This window comes from Homo sapiens, chromosome 13, assembly GCF_000001405.40.
Source record: "Homo sapiens chromosome 13, GRCh38.p14 Primary Assembly".
In the NCBI taxonomy this organism is placed as follows: Eukaryota; Metazoa; Chordata; class Mammalia; order Primates; family Hominidae; genus Homo; species Homo sapiens.
This window is the reverse complement of record NC_000013.11, coordinates 49,469,330-49,491,730: the sequence shown is the minus strand read 5'-3', so window position 1 is coordinate 49,491,730 and position 22,401 is coordinate 49,469,330. Positions and strand designations below refer to the sequence as shown.

At 38.1% G+C, this 22,401-nt stretch overlaps 2 protein-coding genes and 1 pseudogene across 12 annotated transcripts in view; all 3 read right to left on the bottom strand.

The window, feature by feature from the left end:
• SETDB2-PHF11 (SETDB2-PHF11 readthrough) overlaps positions 1–22,401 on the bottom strand; it is an 84,703-nt gene that overhangs the window by 37,246 nt on the left and 25,056 nt on the right. Inside the window, exons 6-12 of one of the 2 annotated variants that reach the window (NR_135324.2) lie at positions 14,692–15,255; positions 11,396–11,512; positions 10,615–10,784; positions 9,535–9,700; positions 8,769–8,994; positions 8,168–8,267; positions 821–909 (exon numbers count right to left, since the gene is read on the bottom strand). Coding sequence is in view for 1 of the 2 variants with exons in the window: in NM_001320727.2 (NP_001307656.1) it covers positions 6,008–6,101; positions 8,168–8,267; positions 8,769–8,994; positions 10,615–10,784; positions 11,396–11,512; positions 14,692–15,255 (1,271 nt within the window). In the remaining variant the exon portion in view is untranslated. Of the gene's footprint in view, positions 1–820; positions 910–6,007; positions 6,102–8,167; positions 8,268–8,768; positions 8,995–9,534; positions 9,701–10,614; positions 10,785–11,395; positions 11,513–14,691; positions 15,256–22,401 lie in introns of both variants that reach the window. The other variant, NM_001320727.2, reaches the window with a different exon arrangement.
• The window catches only part of SETDB2 (SET domain bifurcated histone lysine methyltransferase 2), a 50,730-nt gene that overhangs the window by 3,273 nt on the left and 25,056 nt on the right, over positions 1–22,401 (bottom strand). For 4 of the 10 annotated variants that reach the window (NM_031915.3, NM_001160308.3, NM_001320699.2 and 1 more), the window contains 8 exons: positions 14,692–15,255; positions 11,396–11,512; positions 10,615–10,784; positions 8,769–8,994; positions 8,168–8,267; positions 6,008–6,101; positions 3,101–3,441; positions 821–909 (listed from right to left, as the gene is read on the bottom strand). In NM_031915.3, coding sequence (NP_114121.2) covers positions 821–909; positions 3,101–3,441; positions 6,008–6,101; positions 8,168–8,267; positions 8,769–8,994; positions 10,615–10,784; positions 11,396–11,512; positions 14,692–15,255 — 1,701 coding nt within the window. Of the gene's footprint in view, positions 1–820; positions 910–3,100; positions 3,442–5,885; positions 6,102–8,167; positions 8,268–8,768; positions 8,995–9,534; positions 9,701–10,614; positions 10,785–11,395; positions 11,513–14,691; positions 15,256–22,401 lie in introns of those variants that run through there. The other 6 variants (NM_001393977.1, NM_001393979.1, NM_001393980.1 and 3 more) reach the window with 3 other exon arrangements.
• On the bottom strand, positions 2,367–2,761 carry SNRPGP14 (small nuclear ribonucleoprotein polypeptide G pseudogene 14; annotated as a pseudogene).

Sequence of the window (22,401 nt, the reverse complement as noted above, 5' to 3'; positions counted from 1 at the left end):
TAGAAAGTAGAAATTTGAAAAGAATCATAAAATACCCTAAATAACTACCAATGAACCAAATTATATCAATTTTCATATTAACATTAACCATCCTCAAAAATATGATCTGTTCTCTCACCCAACATCCACCAATTAGGAATGACCTTTTATTAAGAATAACCATTTGAGTTTTATTTCAAATCTACTAAAATGTTAAGTAAGAAGGAACCTATCAATATGAGGAAGAAGTGTATTTTGCCAACAGTGGGACCCAGTCATGTGTTGAGGCCTGCAGTGTGGAAGTAGCTGGGGAATAGCTCTGAATTAAAGATTATGTAGCACTCTGCATCATTTATCCCGAGTGGAACTGGGTGATACCTGATATCTTCAGCCCTTTCAGGCATTCATTCTAAATGGGAATAAGAGTCAAAATTTCAGGTGTGCAAAATCTTATTGAATAGGAACAGTTTAGGATAATTGAATATTCTACAGTACCAGATATTTGGGGCTATAGTATATATCTTTAAAAAATATTTTTCTATTATAATTATCATTTTTTGAGACAGGGTGCAAACTCTACCTCTTGGGCTCAAGTGATCCTCCTACCCCAGCTTCCTGAGTAGCTGGCCACCAAACCTGGTGAACTTTTTCTATTTTTTTTAGTAAAGACAGGGTTTCGCCATGTGGCTCTGGCTGGTCTTAAACTCCTGAGCTCAAGCAGTCTCCCCACCTTGGCCTCCCAAAGTGCTGGGATTACAGGTATGAGCCACAGCACTCAGCCCTCTATTGTTATTTTTAAAGTCACAATTTCAGAATTAAGTAAGCGAAATCAATTTCAAACCTGTTGGTGAAGAATGCCACCAATGGAAAATTCCTGTTGTGTGTTTCTACAAAAACATTCTGTACCAAGAGATTTGGGCAACAACTATGCTGTTAAATAAAAATAAACACAAAGGTTAGAAATAGCATAAAGTCTGATGCCTTGTGCTTTTGCATTAGAAAACCATTCTGTTTTTAATATATCACACTGATTTTGTTCTTTTTTTGTCAATGTATAAATTATCACAGCTCCTGTTAATAGTGGGAACCCATTCAGAAAAGCCCTGTTCTGACGCTCTTCTATGTTGCTGGCAGAAATGCAAAAATGGGACAAATCCCTATAAAATATGTCAATATTTATCATTATTATAAATGCATTTGTCTTTTGATTCTGCAATCTCATATCTAGAATTGTATTCCACAGATTCATCTGTATATGTTTCCATGTGTAATTATTCATTGAGCATTGTTTTTAGTGCTAAAGGTTTGGAAATAACCCAAATATTTGCCTAAAGCAGATTGGTTAAATAAACTTTGGTACACAATAGAATTCTATGCAGCTATAAACAAAAGCATACAAATAAAAACAATTTGAGAAGCTCTGGGTATTAATATGGAATTGCCACAAGATTTTTTTTTTTTTTTTTTTTTTTGAGACGGAGTCTCACTCTGTCGCCCAGGCTGGAGTGCAGTGGCATGATCCTGGCTCACTGCAACCTCCGCCTCCTGGGTTCAAGTGATTCTCATGCCTCAGCCTCCCAAGTAGCTGGGATTATAGGCATGTGCCATGACACACGGCTAATTTTTTTTGTATTTTTAGTAGTGACGGGGTTTTGCCGTGTTGGCCAGGCTGGTCTCAAACTCCTGACCTCAAGTGATCTGCCTGCCTTGGCTTCCCAAAGTGCTGGGATTACAGGCATGAGTCACATCACGCCTGGCCCAATATACTGTTAATTTGAAAAACAAAGTATAGAACAGTGAATATAATATGCTATGTTTTATGTAAAAAAAAAAGGGGGGGGGGGCGGGAGAAATAAGGCCAGGTGCGGTGGCTCACACCTGTAATCCCAGCACTTTGGGAGGCCGAGGCAGGCAGATCACTTGAGGTCAGGAGTTCAAGACCAGCCTGACCAACATGGTGAAATTGTGTCTCTACTAAAAATGCAAAAATTAGCCAGGCATGGTGGTGCACACCTGTAATCTCAGCTACTCAGGAGGCTGATGAGGAGAATCGCTTGAACCTAGGAGGCGGAGATCGCAGTGGGCCGAGATCACACCACTGCACTCCAGCCTGGTGACAGAGCAAGACTCGGTCTCAAAAAAAAAAAAAAAAAAAGAATAAATATGATGACCTACAGAGAGAAGGTGGAGTCGGGGCATGGGAACAGGAGCACAGTACTTCTCAAGGTATGGCTTTTTTTTTTTTTTTTAAACAAAAAGTTTTCACAAAGTAAGTTTAATATGAAGATGTACAGAACCTAATTTTTACATCACTGTAACAAACAAGCCTTTTGGAGAGGAGATATTGTAAGCAACAAATTTCTTTGCTGAAGATAGCCATTATGTATCGTCGTTCCGAGGCTTCTAAATAGATGATACCATTTCCTCATATTAGCACTATTCCAGTATTGCTCTGTTGCCCACTAGCCGCCATCTCCACACATTCATCATGTGATTCATTAACGCCTGTAATCTCAGCTACTCAGGAGGCCGAGGCATGAGAATTGCTTGAACCCCAGAAGCGGAGGTTGCAGTGAGCTGAGATTGTGCCACTGGTGACAAAGTGAGACTCTGTCTCAAAAAAAACAAAAAATAAAAACCAAAAAACCAGTATATTGTGGCAATCTTTCCATATTAATACACCATTAAATCCCTGCAGTATTCTTTGGACATATCTGCCACCATTTAACTTCACTGATAACTTCCTAGCCATACATTTTTTTCAACTCAGGTAAGTGAGCTTATTTAAATCTGATATATTTAAATACTTTTCTTATACACCATTTCTTACAGTTTTTTAAAAGCAAATGTTTACTATGTGCTAGGCACTGTTCTAAGCACTTAATGTTAATTCATTAGATTCTCATAACATCCTGAGACAGTTATCATTTATCCCTGTATTACAGAGGTAGAAAATGAGGTATCAGAGGTCAAGTAAAACATCCAACTGTATACAAGTGGAGGACTGGAATTCTAACCAGATGGTCTGACTTTAGAGTCTGTTTATTTTCCTCATAATTTTGTTAAGTAGCATAGAAAAAAACAGTTGTTCAGAAATAGGAATCTCAGCCCTTATACTCACATTAAGGAAGCGGCCGACATTTCCTTCTTTTGTGGCATCCAATAAAAACACATTCCCTTTATTGAACTTTGTTAGAGAATCAGATGAAGTATTCTTGGTTTCACTTAGCAACTCTTCATCACAAAATACCTGCTGTCTTTGACATGCTGTAGATCGTCCCTCTTGGGGTTTCTGAATTTGAACCTCAATTGCCTTTTTAATATTCTGATTATCCAATGTGGTCGCCTGGTTACATCTGCTCCTTGGTGGAGTTTCTTCTCTATATTTAGTTATATCTATCACATCTGATTCAATCAGCAGATTATCTTCAAACTCATCAACATGGTTTGAACTTGAGTCCTCTAATAGACATTTTGGAAGGAAACATCAGGAAATATACTTGCTGAGCAATAGTGCTGAAATTAACAACACTAATTAGATGCTAGGTGCTTTAATTATCGATCCTTACAATGTGTTAGGCAGGTAGTATTATTTTAATTGTATAAAGGAAACTTTCTCTGAGGGATTAAGGAATTCATCTGACCCACAATAACGAGAACTGGGGTAACAAACCTAGAAATGTTTGAATCCCAAAGTCTGCCTTCTTTCTACTACGTAACAATGCCTTTTTATGAATCTACATCTTGCTTCTTCATTATTATATTTAATCTCTACTCATAATAAACTGACTTTCTTCTCTTTAATTCTGGAATCTGCACTTAAGTATATTCTAAACAAATGTAACAGAGTGGGTGTTTTGGAGGCACTCTAGGCCTTTATGCTGCCAATAAAAGGCCTAACCCTGACAGAGACACCTTCCACAAGTCCCAGCAGTGACAACTGTATTGCTAGGGGTTTTGCACATATTAGTGTTTGGTGTTTTACTAGATGACCATTCAATAATTACACCTTTGTAAACAATAATCCTTTAAAAGCAGATGCACTGCTTAATCGTTTTTCTTATCCAATAAGGAAAATAATTTTTTGAGAGTATTCAAGAGTATGAATATGGCTGGGCATGGTGGCTCATGCCTGTAATCCCAGCACTTTGGGAGGCCAAGGCAGGAGGATGCTTGAGGCCAGGAATTCAAGACCAGCCTGGGCAACAAAGTGAGACCCCATCTCTACAAAAAATTTTAAAAAAAAGAAATTAGCCAACAAGGGGGTGTGTGCCTGTAGTCCTGTTTGCTCAGGAGACTGAGGTGGGAGGACTGTTTGAGCCCAGGAATTGGAAGGTACAGTGAGCTATGATCCCACCACTGCACTCCAGCTTGGGTGACAGAATGAGTCGCTGTCTCTCTTTAAAAAAAAAAGAAAAGATATGAATGCATGTCAGATGGAGTAAGTATAAATTACTTACTTTAAAAGAGCCACAAAGCTATTTGGACCACCTAATTCAATGGCGCAAAGAAATTATACTTGTCTAAAATTGAGGCTCTTGATTTAATCATCACTGTTGTTGCTGGCTGCTGTTCCTATATGTACTTATATTTTAATCATGGGTTACGTGTAAGCCATAATACAACTTTGGATTTTTTTATACAAAAAGTATGTAGCTTTTGACTTTTGGAGTACCCGCTATATATATTGTAGCAGTCAATGAAAAGGGCAAAAGAACCAAAAGCAACGGTATGCACTGTGGCTCACATGCATGATAAAATAAATATAATACACAAAATCCCCTTTTTTGATAGACCTTTTCTATCAAGGAACTGCCATGTCTCCTCCAATCTCCATCCTTTAATATTAGGTGGAGAGCTGCGGTTGCAGGGGGGAAGAGACAGCAGTGGCTCACCAATTCTTCACAAACGGATATCTCTCAGCAATGTCTCCTTGTGAAGGACACAGTGAAATGCAAAAGTACCAAAAACAATGTTTGTCCAGTTGTAATATTAACTATGGCAAGGACTAGTAACTCTGAAACACAAGGACTCAGGGTGGCAATATTTTAGCCTTTTGCCAGAGTCAAGCTGAGTATGCTCTGCGGCAGTATTGGCTAGGCAATTGCAGGAAAGTGATGTGTGTTTATTTTTAAAGGCGTCTACAAAGAGTTTGAAAGTGGCTGCTTTGCACAATGGTTCCAAAGCCACGGACAACACCTGTGCACCACAAAGACTCAAGAGTTTTCCAGCCCACCCCTCTTGTCATGCATCAAGTCACTACTGGCAATTAGACCAGAGGTCAGCAAAGTTCTCCTGCAGAAGGCAAAATAGCAAATATTTCAGGCTTTGCTGGCCATGTGGTGGTCTCTGTTGTGATTATTCAACTCTTGCTGTAATGTTGAAGCAGACAATATATAATGTAAATTGGCTGTATTCCAATAAAACTTACATTTTATTTTTTTTTTTGAGACAGGGTCTTGTTCTATCGCCCAGGCTGCAGTACCGTGGCACAATCATAGTTCACTGTAACCTCAAACTCCTGACCTCAACAATCCTCCCACCTCAGCCCCCTGAGTAGCTAAGACCTCAGGTGTGCACCACCACACCTGGCTATTTTGTTGTTGTTGAGACAAGATCTTGCTACATTGCCCAGACTCATAGCCTCAAGCAGCCCTCCTGCCTTGGCTTCCCAAAGTGCTAAGATTACGGGCGTGAGCTACTGCACCTGGCCAAAACTTTATTTCTGGACACTAAAATTGTAATTTCATATAATTTTCAAGTGTCAAAATATTATCACCTTCTGATTTTTTTCAACTATTTAAAAACATAAATATCATTCTTAGCTCACATGCCATACTGAACAGGTAGAGGGCCAGATTTGGCCCACACACGATATTTTGCTGATCTCTTATGTAGACAAGTTGTAACCTTTCTGACAAATGCAGCATGTTTATTATGGAATCTAAGAAAATGAGCTACAGGTATTGAGCAAGAGACAGAGAAACAGGCAGAAGAGGTAGGCATTCACAGAAGAAACAAAGCCTACTTTGTGCTCCCTTGGTTTTAGAGTTCAGATGCTCTCGGGGTGGTTTAAATCCATCATTATCTTCTGGAGTGACAGACTCCGAGGAAACAAATTCCTTAAAAAAACAAGGAAGATGTCTTTACTTTCCAGGTCAGGCAAAAGTATTTAGCAGTTAGGCCTCTTTCATCAAGTGTCAATCATCATAGGCTATATGTACTAGATTCGTTTTGAAAAGCCTCAAAGCTGATATCATAAGGAGTCTTTAGACTAATGGAGTCAACAAGTGTCATCCCCTTTGACTCTGTTCTACTTCTAGGTGCTTTATTAAGCCACAGCTATAAAGACTGTCAAGAAATTCTTTGGGAATTAAAATCTTAATGCATCCCTGTCTGTATCCCCCAATTCTAATCATCTCAGTACTTAGAAAGTGTTATTACTAGATTATAAATTTGCCTTCAACTGTAAGTTGTGTAAAGATGAAAAACACTCATTGGCTAGTTTCTACTTCAAAGAAAGGTTAACGAATGTGATAATGCTTACACATTGTAGACACTGCAGTCACTTTAAGTAGTAATGATAACTTTAAAAGAGGCGTATATACTCAGCACAATGCTTGGCAACCAACTAAGTATTCAATACACATTGACCATATTATTACTATGAAAGTTCTCAGCATGTGAATGGTCAACATGTATTGAGCACTTAGTTGGATGCTAAGCAAGTTGCTGATGCTTATCTCATTTAATCCTCATAATTCTGAAACATATACTATTACCTTTTTACAGATAAAAGAAATGTATGTATGGAGATACCACCCAGCTAGCACGCAGCAGAGCTGGAGGTTACACCTGGGTCTGTGTGACACCATGGCCAATCTTTTCATAATTCTCTGACCTTAAGGAGGTAGCTACTGTACCATTACCAGGCAGAGGGCAAATATTTGCATAACACCTAAAGCAGAGTTTTTACTCTTCATCAACAAGCCCTAAAGTAAGCTACCATTATGTCTCTCTTTGTTCTCTTTTCTCTTTCTCTGCTTCTACGTTTCAGTCTCTGACTAATCTTTAGTTCACAATGCAAAGGGTACCCTCAGAGGCTACCACATAAAATACTGTTTTCTGGATGATTCTTTCATAAAATTGCATCTCTTCTTTCTCATACATCTTAAAACCTTCAGCCAGGCGCAGTGGCTCACGCCTCTAATCCCAGCACTTCGGGAGGCCAAAGTGGGTGGATCACCTGAGGTCAGGAGTTTGAGACCAGCTGGCCAACATCATGAAACCCCGTCTCTACTAAAAATACAAAAAAGTAGCTGGGCATGGTGGCAGGCACCTGTAATCCCAGCTACTCATGAGGCTGAAGCAGGGGAATCGCTTGAACCCAGGAGGCAGAGGTTGCAATAAGCTGAGATCGTGCCATTGCACTCCAGCCTGGGCAACAAGAGTGAAACTCCATCTCAAAACAAAACAAAACAAAAAACAAAAACCTTGTTCTCCTTCACCTAAATTACTTTGTCCCTTTTCTTATATATCACTATTAACTCCTGAAGACTTTAGCTTCTCCCACAAACTCTCAGAATGGGATACCTCTCGGTCTCAGTGGAGCACACTGTCAGATCATGACCAGCATTCTCCTCATACAGCCAAGCTGGAAACATGTCAACTGCCGTGGATGATACTAAGTAAACAGAACATGGTCCTAGCATTTCCACCGTCCACCATTCCAAAACAATAAAAGAAATTCTACACACTATAAAGTAACACAAACATTTTGAGCTAAGTAAAGGATAGGAAGGCAATAGTTTACATCTCAGAAGGGCCCCAGCAGCTGGGTGCGGTGGCTCATGCCTATAATCCCAGAACTTTGGGAGGCTGAGGCACAACAGCTGCTAGAGCTCAGGAGTTGGAGACCAGCCTGGGCAATATAGTGAGACCCCATCTCTACTAAATAAGAGCTGGGCATGGTGGTGTGCACCTGTAGTCCCAGCCATTCGGGAGGCTGAGGGAGGAGGATACTCGAGCCCAGGAGATTGTGGCTGCAGTGAGCTGTGACTGTGCCACCACACTCCAGCCTGGGTGACAGAGTGAGACTCTGCGTCAAAAAAAAAAAAAAAAAAAAAAAAAAAAAAAAAAAAATTTAAAAAAGAAAAGAAGGGTCCCAACTACATTTTGCATTTTTTACCATTTTTTTCCCATTGTGTTGAAAAATGGCTGTCTTGGATTCAGGATCTCTAATAACTGAATGATATTGAATTCTTGAAATATTATCATATTTCGTTTCCCTAAAAAGGAAAAAAAAGTTATTCTGTATCACTAAAAATTCTCTTCATTCTCTTTACTCAAGTACAGATAATATCCATTATTACATAAATATCCTTAATTATTATAAATTAACCTAAGTAAGAACATCTATGTTTATTCCTTTCCCTAGAGAAAGGAAATATAATCATAAATAATTTTTGAAGTACATTTGGAAAAGGAAGAGAACCTATGAAAACTTTGCAGATAAAATGATAGAAAATTTTAAAAAACAGCAAAACTTATGACATCCATAAAAAACCTGACTAAAGTCATATAAGGTAAAATTCCAAAACTGGAACACTGAGGATGGTATATTGGCTAGATTTTTACATGTCCTGGATTTCTCAAAGTGTTAGACTTAACAACTTTGAAGCAAAATGATAAATACAAATGAGGAGAAAAGAAAGAGGGGAAGGAATGAAAAAGAACCAATTGATTGATAATAATTTAGATTTACTCTGGGTTCCTCAGCTGTTACTTACACAGTAAGCTCCTTGGGATTATTACTGAACTTTGGTGGACATTTCTCAGTTTTAGCAGTTCTAGGATGTGTTTCCAATCCTAATGGGAGAACTTCAACTTCACAATCTGAACATGCAACTTCTAATTTCCTCTTTTTTGAAAATATATTTTTCATAGTATTCTCATCTCTCCCGTTTTCATCAATACCATAAGATTTTTCAGTGTTAGCTCTGCTTAGTAATCTTCCTAAAAGGAAAATGTTAAAGAGTTTGAACAACACAGAAGATAATTGCTAATGATAAACAGACATCTCTATTTCTACTCCATGACTAAAGAACCCACACATTCTACAATGAAGATAAACACATTAACTCATCCTACAAAACTGTTGCAAGACAAAGACCAATGTGATATTTCTTATCTTCCAGTATATGAAAAAACAGGGTATCTAAAAAAAAACCATTTGTCTGTTTTGGTATAATACAAAAGAGAAGAGATTTAGCTAGAATGATACAAAAAGATATGGATGAGAAAGTACTCTAGAAAATTAGAGAGATGACTCTAGCCATAAAATTGTAGCTTTTATGTCTAGTTAAAAAGGCGTTATCATCTGAAACTTAAAATTTTTAACAAAAGTACCTATTTAAATATGTGGTGATATGTTCTTAGTGTTGTCATATTAAGTTCTGCATAACACTAAAATCTTGGTCTAAAGTTCATGCATTTTCTTTCAAGGGATTCAATATTATAGTTGCCAAGTCCAAATTAATAGCAGGATATTCTTACCCATTGTTAGATCGGAGACATATCTTAGTTACATTTTCCAGCAACAACGATAAAACCAATGATACTTCCTGGACACCACCTGGCATTTTACAGGTAGCTTTCATCCAAGAGTTATTTTGAGAAGTATGAGAGATGAACGTCTAGGCAGGATGTGTAGAATGTGGATCTGTAAATGGGGAGTGGCAGGGATCCATACGTGTGACTACTCTGAACTCTGCAAGCTTCTTCTTGCCCTCCCTGATGTGAACCTGATATTTCTTTTCTAAGCACATGGTCATGTAAACAGATTAAACCTGATTTTTCAGATGAGTAATTTTCAGAACCTGGTTGTTCTTTTCCCTGATGCCTAACTGCTAAAATAAGTCAAGGACAATTCCTTTAGACTGGCTCTAAAGCCGTGTTTCCCAAACTTTCTCACAGAAGGATGTGCACAGAAAATAAGGGATTTTGCCTGACATGCTGGAGGTAAATGTGTAAGACTACTGAAGACTGATGTGTTTGGCCCTGGGGGCTGTGGCCCTAAAGAATCAGTAATTGCATGACTGTAACACACTGCTCGGGAAGTTTTGCTCTGCAGCATGGACAACTCTCTGCAGTCCCCAAAATAGAGTGAGTTGCCTAAAGTCACTGACTGAATTATAACATGCAGATATTACATAATTAACTTGTTAAATTCTAATAATAGCTCAAAACATTGAATAAGAAAGTTTTTGACTGGTCATCTTTACCTTGGCAAGCCAGTCATTTAGTTTTTTTTTTTACTTTTAACAAGTTTTATTCCCTTACCCCAAAGTACCTGTAGCCATGCAGACAAAACAAATGTGCCTTGTACGTAACAGGCCCTCACACAAAAACCCAAGTGTCATCTCTGAACCTTTCTTTTCTTGAAGAAAGTACCTCCTAAGCATCTCATCTCTTTAGTGCTCAAGTTCCCAGTTTACCTGCCTTTCTCTGATGTTCCTCTTAGATACTGTTACTCTTTACCTTGCTGTAAGCTCTCAACAGCCCTGGCTAGGAAAATGGATATTTAGAAAAGTGGATTCTACTCTAGAATAATTTGAAAATAAACTTTTGCTTTACCTGAATAAATGCAAACAAATGTCCCTCTGTCAATGTCATCTAGACAGCGTACACCCCATCCCTTCTGCTCAGTTTTGAACACCTGTAACCTCACTTGAGGACCATGTTGGACAACTCGGTTTTGACACAATTGTCGATTACATTTGCACAAAAGGCTGCATTCATAAATGCTGTCAACAAAATATGCAAAAGAGAAAATCAGACATCTCAAAAAGCAGTTTATTGACACTTCACTGACACTGATAACTACTGAGGGAAGCAGGCTAAATGTGAAAGCTCTTAGAGGTAGAGTGCCTGGGTTCCCATCACAGCTTCCACATTTACTAGCTGTATTATCTTGGATGAGTTATTTAACTTTTCTGTGCTTTATCTTCACATTTTTAAAATGGGGATTATATGACAATACCTCCCTCATAGGGCTGCTTTGTGAAGATTAAGTGAGTCAGTACCTTGAAAGGTTGAAAATTCCCAATTCTCAAATGAGTTCTAGACAGTTATTTTTAAACGGAGAAATGGCTGCCCAAAGTAGGCTGATACTAGAGGGGTAAGAGCCAGACTCAAAGCAGATGAGTGTTCAAGTACACTCTGCATGATGTATGTGTGGTCTCTGACTACCATTTCCACGAACAATACACAGGATTTTTATTCCTTAATAATTTAGATTTTTGGTATTAGAACCAAATTAAACCAGATTTAACATCTATAAGATTTTGGACCACAATAAAAAGTACCCACCTTCAAAGATATACACACCCTGCAACAAATCCTCAAGGTACCTTACCCAGTAGGAATCTGTCTCTGTAGTCTTTTATATTTATATCCAGTGGTTATTTTGTCACTTGACAAGGGGGAAGTTTTGGCATTCCTTGCTGTCAGTTGAAGACATGCACATTTTGTTCTAAAAGGCAGGCAATGGATGGAGAAAGAATGAAAAAGCAGCAAGTCAAGTCAAGAGACTGTCTTGATAAATGTGTAAATGATGTAATAAAAGATGTAATAGCATTTAGAATAGTTTGGCTCATGAACACTATCAGCTTTTTCCCTAAATAGATCTCTTTGAAAGACAATACCTCCCAAAAGTTTATAAATAATTATAAACTGCACTGCAACTCTATTTGCTCATGAAATACTTAACTATATGAGTTTAGCTTTCCAAAATCAATTCCTTTAATTTCCCTGTTCAGCACAGAAGCTTGTTTGTGAGAATTCTGCTAGTTCTGCTCTTTTACAATGGATAAACTTAAATATGTCAAATTTGTAAGGACATAGTTTTGCAGATGTCTTAAGTTCTCTCTCACTCCAGTGACAGAAACAGACTGGGGAGATTGATGCCGGGTATCTGCCTACTATTATTGAATCCTTTTTTCATACTGTTGCGAGGCAGGAAGCTTGCAACCATAAAACTTCATGTACTTTCCCCTCTATTCAGATGACTAACTAACTTGATAGGGAACCATAATTTGATACAAAGTAAGGAACTTGGGGACTCTAGCTGTGTAACTAGGTAAATGACTGCTGGTGAGCTGGTTAAAATCTCTGGATCTTAGTCTCCTTTGCTGAACAAGTGACTTTAAGGTCTTTTCCTCTATGATTCTCTTCTGTATTTTCTGTATTAATTAATACACATCAGAATGGTGGCTGCTGTTTGCAAGAGAAAAGAACAACGACAACAATCAACAAATTCATTAATTTGGATTCTGTTTACAGATATGAAAATCTATAATTGTTCTTTCCCATGTGATTTTGTGTGCAAAGTTTAAAAAGTACAGAAAAATACAGATAATAATAAACACCCATATTTCCACCATCCAGAATTAGTTGTCAGCATTTTGTCTAGTTCTCTTCCCTGTATATATAATTCAAAATATACACACCACATATACACCACATATATATGGTCTTCTTAAAAAAAGTTAAAAAGTAAAACATAGATATAACTAAACTCTCAAGAGATTTAGTGTGGCATCCTTTATGCTTTTATATACACATGTATCTACAAACAATATATTGTGTATTTTTCATTATAAAAAATTTACTATAGGTATTATTCTATAACTTGCTTTTTTTGTTGTTCAATATAATGTTTTTGAGACCCATCCATGCTATATACAAATCTAGTTAATTCCTTTTAACTTTTCTACTGGATTAGGTATTGCTCACTTCATATACAATTCATAGTTTTTCTTTTTTGAGAAGGGGTCTCACTCTGTTGCCCAGGCTGGAGTGCAGTGGCGCAATCTTGGCTCACTGCAGCCTCGACCTCCCTGCACTCAGGTGATCCTCCCACCTCAGACTCCCGACTAGCTGGGACTACAAGGGCGTCCCACCACGCCACGCTAACTTTTGTATTTTTGTAGAGATGGGGTTTCGCTAGGTTGCTCAGGCTGGTCTCGAACTCCTGGGCTCAAATGATGTTCCTACCTCAGCTTCCCAAAGTGCTAGGATTACAGGTATGAGCCACTGTGCCCAGCCTCTTGGGACAGTTTAATTATACCTGTTTTAAAATCCCTTTCAATTAGATTCAACATTTACCTCTGATTCCTCAGGTGTTAATTCTCTCTACTTGTCGGGACTCATGCTGCCTTCATGGTCCTAAACATCTTTGTGTGCTGTAAATGTTTGTTTGAAATCATACCTTCTGTGGGGTTTAGTCCTGTGTGCTGCTCTACATTGGGTGCTTTCTCCAACGCTTTGGCTCTGACCCCATTGGTTTTACAGCTGTTAACAAGGTTTTCATTAATACAATTCCAGGCCCTGTGAGATACTGGCCTAGTTCCTAGTCTTGTGCAGGTACCTGTTTCTATTCCTTTGAAGAGCCAAGTCCCCAGATGAGGTAGTTGGGTTACATTTAGAGGTAATCTTTACAAAATAAAATACATATTTTTAAACAGAATAAAACAGCACAGTGAGAGGTTTCCTCTATGAGAGGCCTCAAGGAACTGAGCCAAACTGAGGTAACAGTAGATATAGCTCTCATTTTACACTCCAATTAACTTAGAGGATGGTGAAAACTATTATTATACTATTTAAATTATTTATCATTCTCTTATTCTTTTTTTGCCAAGTATGGGTAGCTAAATTTGCATTAAATTAAAAGTACATATAATGCAACACCACTCTACATCTGTATACCTACGAATGTATGTGTACTACACACCCTTAAAATGTTTTTCAAAGTCTTAATATATTAGAACATGTTTTCATTTTTTCATGGGATGTTAATACTATTCTATGATTAAGAAAATACTAGTTATAAGCATCACATTAGCCAGCAAATGATTTTTAAAAGTAAAATGCAACATATAACCCAATGGTTAAGAACATGGGTTCAAATCCTGTCTCTACAATTTGTTCTATGACCTCTCCAAATTGACTTCTCTGAGGCTCAACTTCCTCATGTATAACACTGAGATATTACCTATACCTCATGGGTTTTTGTGAAGATTAAGAGAATGAATGTGAAGTACTTGTCACAGTGTCTGGCACTGTTAAATATCATTTGTTGTAATGCCATTGATTATCTTTTAATGTATTAGTACTAGATTAAAGGAAATATGCATTCTTGGAAGAAATGTTTCAAATTACCATATTTGGCAAATAATTAGAGGTTTTTTTTCCTACTGCTAGTGACAGAGTTCATTTTCCCATTGTAGACTCTTTTATTTTTATTTTTATTTTTTGGAGACAGGGTCTTGCTTTGTTGTCCAGGCCTCTGGTACAGTGTGTGATCACAGCTCACTGCATCCTTGACCTCCTGGGCTCAAGCAGATCTCCCACCCCAGCCTCCAGAGTAGCTGGGACTATAGATGCACACCACCATACCCAGCTAATTTTTAAATTTTTTGTTAAGATGGGGTTTTGCCATGTTGCCCAGGCTGTTCTCAAACTCCTTTGCTCAAGCTGGCCTCCCACTCGGTCTCCCAAAAGTGCTGGGATTACACACGTGGGCCACCACGCCCAGTCTTACTGTAACTCTTGAACAGGTTTTAGATAGACAAATTAATACATAGCAAGACTTCTTAACAAGCGTCCTTACATTCAGAAGATTTTTTTGAAACGCCATGTTTTTCTACTCACATGTCTATGCAGCCCTCAGAGCAGTCACAGGAATCAGTAAACATGCTGGAAAAGTTGGTTAGATTATATGCTCGAGGCCACACAGTCTTTCTGTACTTAAACTGTGGGAGCTTTCTACTGTCAATTTCATTACAGAAAGAAATGGGCACTGATTCCACTCCATTGCTAATATCCACATCAGAAACAACTTCTTTTTGCTTTGGGTAATTCCGAGCCAACTGAACATAGGTATTGAAAGAAAAGTTATCTGTAAATAAAAAGTTACACTCTGTCTCAAGCAGGTAACGAAAAACTTCCTCCACGTTTCGTAGACTCCTTCCACAAGGGGTTTTATAACTCACGTGGAGTGCTGAAGAATGAGAGTTTGTCTTTGCATGTCGTCTTTGGAAGTGACATTTGATTGGCAGCTGCAGAGGGTTTTCTCCCTTCAAGTTCAGTGGCATTTTCATCAGACAAGCACCAGAGCAGTCATGACTTTGGTAAGATAAATTCGAAGATGAGTCTTTTTCTCTAAAGTCTACAACTTTATCTTCAAGAGAGAGAATTTCCTTATTTTCTGTTGTTCTGTTAAAATAAATTATTCATTAGTATCTCAAATTTATAGTTCAATTCCTCATTTTAAAAAAACTATGATTATTTTCTACCTTCTTAGACAATATTAAAATAAGCCAGACTCTAAGATACACATTTTAAGATGTTCTACAGCCATACAAAGATTATATCTATTTTTAAAACTTTTCTCGGAGATGGGGTCTTCCTATGTTGCCCAGGCTGGAGTGCAGTGGCCATTCACAGGTGTGATCACAGCACAGAGCAGCCTTGAACTCTTGTCCCCAAGTGATCCTCCTGCCTCAGCTTCCCAAATAGCTGGTATAGGCACGCACCAGGTCTGCCTTATACCTAATTTCAGAATATTCCAGGAAGTTGTGATTACAGCTGTAACTTTCTGTTAGGTATTTCATAGCACCTAGCAAATTTAGAGTTCATTTAGAGCATGAATCAATAAAGCACTGAAGAAGGTTACTTCTTCAGGCATGCTGAGATCAAGCTCTTTGCATGCAAAAAAACAAAGGCTGGCTGAAAACTTATTAATTCATCAAGAATCCTTTATACTGTTTGCCTTCAACAATAGTACCAACTTAATTCTTTCCATAATATGTAATCTACCTCACAATCATATTGATACATCTGAAAAAATGGCAAACTGATAGGAGAAAATGGGGTGGTTATTAATAAAATAAAAAAAAAAGTCGGCAGGGTGTGATGGCTCACAACTGTAATCCCAGCACTTTGAGAGGCCAAGACGGAAGGACTGCTTGAGCTCAGGAGCTCAAGATCAGCCTGGGCAACACAGTGAAACCTCATCCCTACAAAAAGTAAAAAAAATTAGTAAGGTATGGTGGTGCATGCCTGTAGTTCCAGCTACTTCGGGGGCTGAGGTGGGATGATCACTTGGACTCGGGAGGTTGAGGCTACAGTGAATCATGATCACACCATTGCACTCCAGCCTGGGTGACAGAGTGAGATCCTGTCTTAAAAAAAAAAAAATCCGTGAAAAGCTTCCTTTTGTTTGGAAATCAAGTTTTAAACTTTCACAAATAATCTGAGTTTTGTTTTACATAGAATTTTCTATCTTTAGGTGTCTGTTATGTATTATAATACAGGTATTTTAGAGATGCGTTGTATTTGCTCTATGATATGGTTTGGCTGTGTCCCTACCCAAATCTCATCTTGAATTCCGACGTGTTGTGGGAGGGACCTGGTGGGAGGTAATTGAATCATGGGTGCAGGTCTTTCCCGTGCTGTTCTCGTGATAGTGAATAAGTCTCACGAGATCTGATGGTAACGTAAGGGGGAGTTTCCCTGCACAAGCTCTTTGCCTGTCACCATCTATGTAAGATGTGACTTGCTCTTGCTTGCCTTCTGCCATGAGTGTGAGGCCTCTCCAGCCATGTGGAACTGGTAAGTCCATTAAACCTCCTTCTTTTGTAAATTGCCTGGTCTTGGGTATGTCTTTATCAGCAGCGTGAAAACGGACTAATACACTATATAAAGCAGTGCCATCCAAAAAAACTTCCTCCATTGATAGAAATGGTCTATACCTGTGCTGTCCGATATGGTAGCCAGTGGGCACATGTGGTTACTGAGCACTTTTAAATGTAGCTAGCACGACCAAAGAACTGAATTTTTACATTTTATCTAATTTTGATTAATTCAGATTTAAACAGCCACATGCAGCTAGTGGCTACCATACTGGATGTGCAGATATGGAGCTTCCTCATCCTTTCTCCGACTGTATAGTAATCCTTTGCGTAAGTCCACAATTTAATTACCTAGCCTGCAATAATGGACAATTTTCCATAACATGTAGTATAGGCTAGACCACAATAATGGACTAGTTAACTTACACAGTGATCTTTTAGAACGTATACAGTAAACTTATACAGTGATCTTTTAATAAGTAATTTTATTGTAATAATCTTTGCTATAAAATTATGAATCTATTAATAACAATTTCATACACGTAAAGATACTGTTAGATACTGTTGCAGAACATATTCCCAGAAGTGGGAGTGCTAGGTCACAAGGCAAATGGGTTAGTTATTTCATTAATATTGCCAAATTGTTCTCCATAGTGTCAGTTTCTTCAGCAATAAATGAGAGTGCCTGTTTTCACAGAGTTTCATCAATCAGGTGGATCTTGATGCTTTTGGATTTCAGAGTCTAACAGGTAAAAGGATATACTATAATTTATTTAGAAATCTTTTTTTTTTGAGAGAGAGTGAGTTTCAATCTATTGCCCAGGCTGGAGTGCAGTGGCATGACCTCAGCTCACTGCAACCTCTGCTTCCCAGCTTCAAGCAATTCTTGTGCCTTAGCCTCCCAAGTAGCTGGGATTACAGGCATGTGCCACCACATCCAGCTAATTTTTGTATTTTTAGTACAGACAGGGTTTTGCCATGTGGGCCAGGCTGGTCTCAAACTCTTGACCTCAAGTGATCCACCCACCTCGGCCTCCCAAAGTGCTGGGGTTATAGGTGTGAGCCACCATGCCTGGCCCTTGATTTATTTTAGTATCCAGTATCTTCCTGTTTTTCAAAGGTGGTACCTGGAACCTACTTGTTCCCTATTATTAGGTGTCAAGTTCCTTCTTACCACTTTTTCTTATAAGGAATTATGGTATAACCTGAACTCTGGATTTTCTATTTATTTGTCTCTCTGAGATAAAACACCCTATTTTCTTTCATTCAGAATTCACTGTAATACATTCCTTAGGTTCTCATGGCCTTGTTCTTTGTTTTGATATAGGTTACTCACTCTCAAGTTACTTATACACTTACAGATTTATAGAGATAGTAAACTGTTCTGTTGTCCTTTTCAACTTGACTTAACCAAATAAATATGTTTCAAACTGGATTCTGTAGTATATTATTCTGTAAATGTCATTTGACATTTTGCCTATGAATTTTTTTTTTTTTTTTTTTTTTGGAGACAGGGTCTTACTCTGTCACCCAGGCTGGAGTGCAGTGGTGCAATCTTGGTTCCCCACAACATCTGCCTCCTGGGCTCATGCAATCCTCCCACCTCAGCCTCTCGAGTAGCTGGGACGAAAGGCATGCGTCACAAAGCCCAGCTAATTTTTTGCTTTTTTGGTAGAGATGGGGTCTCACCATGTTGCCCAGGCTAGCCTCAAACTCCTGAGCTCAAGTGATCTGCCTGCCTTGGCCTCCCAAAGTACTAGGATTACAAGCATGAGCCACCGCACCTGGCCTCGGGTATGAATTTTTTGGTTCCTGTTTTGCTCTTTGGAGGAAGGGGAACATTAAATATTAATGTAGATGACTCAATAAATTTTTCTTGGAATATGAAGGGATTAATTCAGGATATATGTGAGAGAGAAAGTATCTGGGTTATCCTTAGTTCTTAAGTAACTACTAATATTTGAATAGTAGTTTAATGTCCTTTACATAATTTCCTCATATGACACAACAAATACAACTCCAAGTTAGCCACTACTGGAACAATATACAATTAGAACTACTTAGGACTAAAATTTGTAATAGTAAATATGCTGGTAAAACTTGTAATTTGGAATTTACATTTCAAGAAAGCCAAACTAGATTAAAAGTATTCTCCTTATGACTAATAAAAACTAGGAGATACAAGACTCTAGTTACTGAGCAATTAACACTGAGAAATACATGTTTTACATTTAAGAAGAGTTAGGGAGGAGTGGGAGGAGAAGAGAAAAAAACAGAAGAGGAGGAGAAAAGCATAAAAATAAAACACTAGTGTGAACCTTAGAAAAGATTAATTTCTTATCTGTGCTTCATTTTACTAAAGAGAAGGAAAAAACCCAACTTACAAGTCTTAAGTATAAAGTAACCTAATTTCATCCCAATTTTATGGAGAGGAGGGTTAACTTTATTTAGGTGTGAAGATACATTACTGAAAAAAAAAATAGAAATAAAACCAATTCTATGCACAGTATTGTAAACCCAGTCATTGATTAAAAGTGCTAGAGGTAAACACAGGATAAGGAGTAAGTAGTGAGAAGGAGAAGTCCACGGCTGTCTGGACCTGCTTGCCAGCCTCTGGGTAAGGATTTCTCAGTTTGCATATGATTTGACAATTGTTCAGGGTGTTGTTAGTCACTCTGAACATCAAAGTGGAGCATGGCTTAGAGGCTGCCAACTGATTATCTAGCTTTTGGCAAGGCTAAAGTAAGAAGTCATTCTATCCTCTATGACCATTAAGGGGGCATATTTTAAAACAAGAATGTATACTGTATTCATCTAAAGACTGCAGTAGGTAAATCTGGTATTTTGCTCAGTCCCTTCTTTAGTCATCCTCTTCTGAAAGGCAGGTATATTAATTTCAGTGTACTCAAAGATGTTGGGTCTTGTATACATACTGGGCTTTTTATACTGTCTCTTTCAATAATTTAAATTAAGATATTAAAAAAAATGGTTGGGTGCGGTGGCTCATGCCTGTAATCCCAGCACTGTGGCAGGCCGAGGTGGGAGGATTCATTGAGCCCAGGAGATCAAGATCAGCCTGGGCAACATGACTAGACCCTGTCTCTATTTAAAAAAAAAAAAAAATATATATATATATATATATATGTCACATGAGATAACACTTGCACTAGAAGGTTAGAGTTTAGCTGGGGCAGCTATGTTTGGTCATGTGGGAAGAGAAGAAACCTACTGGTAACAGAGAGAAGTAGAGTTGAGACTGTGTCAACCCTGACCTTAGGTATTGACTTTTAAGTTCCTATTTTAGTGTTTACATGGCCTGCTGTGTTACATTTTCTGTTCTTCAAGACCTATTTTATTTATATATGTGTGTATGTATGTGTAGGTACATGTGTGTGCATGTTTTTAAAAATAATCTTTTGGGTTTGTGTGCATGTCATGTAAAAAGCCATAAAAATTTAATGGCTTAAATTTACACCTGTGTCTTTAAGCAGTGGTGCAAGCCCAGTGTCACCCAGTATGCTAACCAAAGCTGCACACCTCGTACACTTCTAATAAATTCCACTACTTAAGCTAGCTTGAATAGGTATGTACTCCTGACAAACCAAAGTTTATACTTGACCAAAAAAAAAAAAAAAAAGGGAATTCAGACTTCTAAAATCACAAAAGTAAATATCCTTTTAAAAGAATTATCACTGAAGTAATACTTTTGTTTTTACATTTACCTATGTCATAACTCACTTATGTGGAGTAGAAATTCAGTTCAACTCAAGAATAGAATACTGGCTGGGTGTGGTGGCTCATGCCTGTAATCCCAGCACTTTGGGAAGCTGAGGAGGGAGGACTGCTTGAGACTAGGAGTTCACGACCTGCCTGGGCAACATAGTGAGACCACATCGCTACAAAAAAAAAAAATGTTAAAAATTAGCCAGGTGTGGTGGTATGCACCTGTAGTCCTAGCTACTTGAGAGTCTGAGGAGGAAGGATCGCTTGAGCTTAGGGCGTCAAGCCTACAGTGAGCTGTGGCTATGTGCCACTGCAGTCCACCCAGCGAGACAGTGAGACCCTGCTGTCTCAAAAAAAAAAAAAAAAAAGAAAGAAAGAAAGAAAACAAAAAAACCCCACAAAAAAACACCAAAAGCCTGAAGCCTGTGTCCTATTAGACCCAAGATTTCATCCTGGGGTTTGCCGTTGATAGTTTGTATAATCTTTTTTTGAAATAGGGTCTCACTCTGTCACCCAAGCTAGAGTGCGGAGGCGCGATCATGGCTTGCTGCAGCCTTGATCTTCTGGACTTAGGTGATACACCTCAGCCTCCCAAGTAGCTGGGACCACAGGCATGTGCCACCAAGCCCGGCTAATTTTTGTTACTTTTTGTAGAGATGGGGTTTTGCCATGTTGCCCAGGCTAGTCTTGAAATTTTGGGCTCAAGTGATCCTCCTGCCTCAACCTCCCGAAGTGCTGGGATTACAGGTGTGAGCCACCATGCTCAGCCTAATCTTGAGCAGTTTAGCTGGGGCTAAGAATTCCTGGCTTAAGTTATTGAATGTTTAGTTTACTAGGCAACCTATGTGACCACTGGGCTGCTAAGAGGGTTTAAGTACTGAAAATAAAATAAGCAAATAAACTTCTGGCCTGCAGAGGAAATATAAAAGGAATTATTTAAACATAATTCCAGTCAAGAATGAAATGCTTCCTTGGAATTCTTAATGGCAAAGGAAGAAAATCCTAAGCCTAATAAGACATGTCCCTTCATCTGAAAAGATCTCAGAATGCTCAACTCAAAAGTTAGGTATAATCTCAAAAAAAGCCTCTGAGTGTCAACACAGTACAAGAGAGATGGGAGATTAAGGAAATGAAATTCTGATTATATAATCATAAACAGTCCTAAAGAGATGGGAAAACAGTTAAAGAAACCAACTCAATTTTTCTTGGAAGCTCGGATTTTTAAAAGTATACATACAAAAGAAGACAGCTAATTATGAATACGCAACATTGGTACGAAACTGTAAGAAAAGTATCACAAAGCCTAGTAAGAACCGAGGTTTCCAAAAGTGCTAATAAAATAACAACAACAAAAAACAACTAAAGCTATGCTTAGAACAAGAAAATAATCTGTTAGGAGAAAAATAAGGTTAACTGATAACAAAGAGAAGGAAGAGTTTCTCAAAAACAATTCTGCCTTTGTCTTTTCCATCTTTAAGTATGGCTCTCAAGTTGGAAACAAGAGGAAAAAAATAAAAAGAAACTGAAGTCTGTGACAGTTAAAGAGAGGGTACTAGAACTCAAGTTTATTTAAGCATATAGAAGACTCTACAAATTAAATCTCAAGGTCTGGAAAAAAAAACTTCAAATATAGAAAAATTAAAAATAAAATAATACTGCCCTGATTTTTTCTTTGACCACTTATCCTCAAGTTCTAGCTGCCCTGATTTTTAAAAAGGGAAGGAGGACAGGCTACAGAAAATATAGAAAGGTTAGCTTAACACTGGTCTCTTAAAAATCTCTAGAAGAAGGCATCAAGGGTGTGGCTTCTAAATATTTTGAATTTAAAAGGCCAACCAACACTAGGTGCTGAGTTAACAAGTAGGTGAGAAAAATCCAAATTAACTGAATTTTCTTTTTTGACAACGTTTTCAATAAGTCTGAATAATGTCTGGCAATGCCACAGAATGCTATGGCAGTGAACCTTGATTTTTCATGACCACTTTGTAAGTGAGAAGTGTAGGCG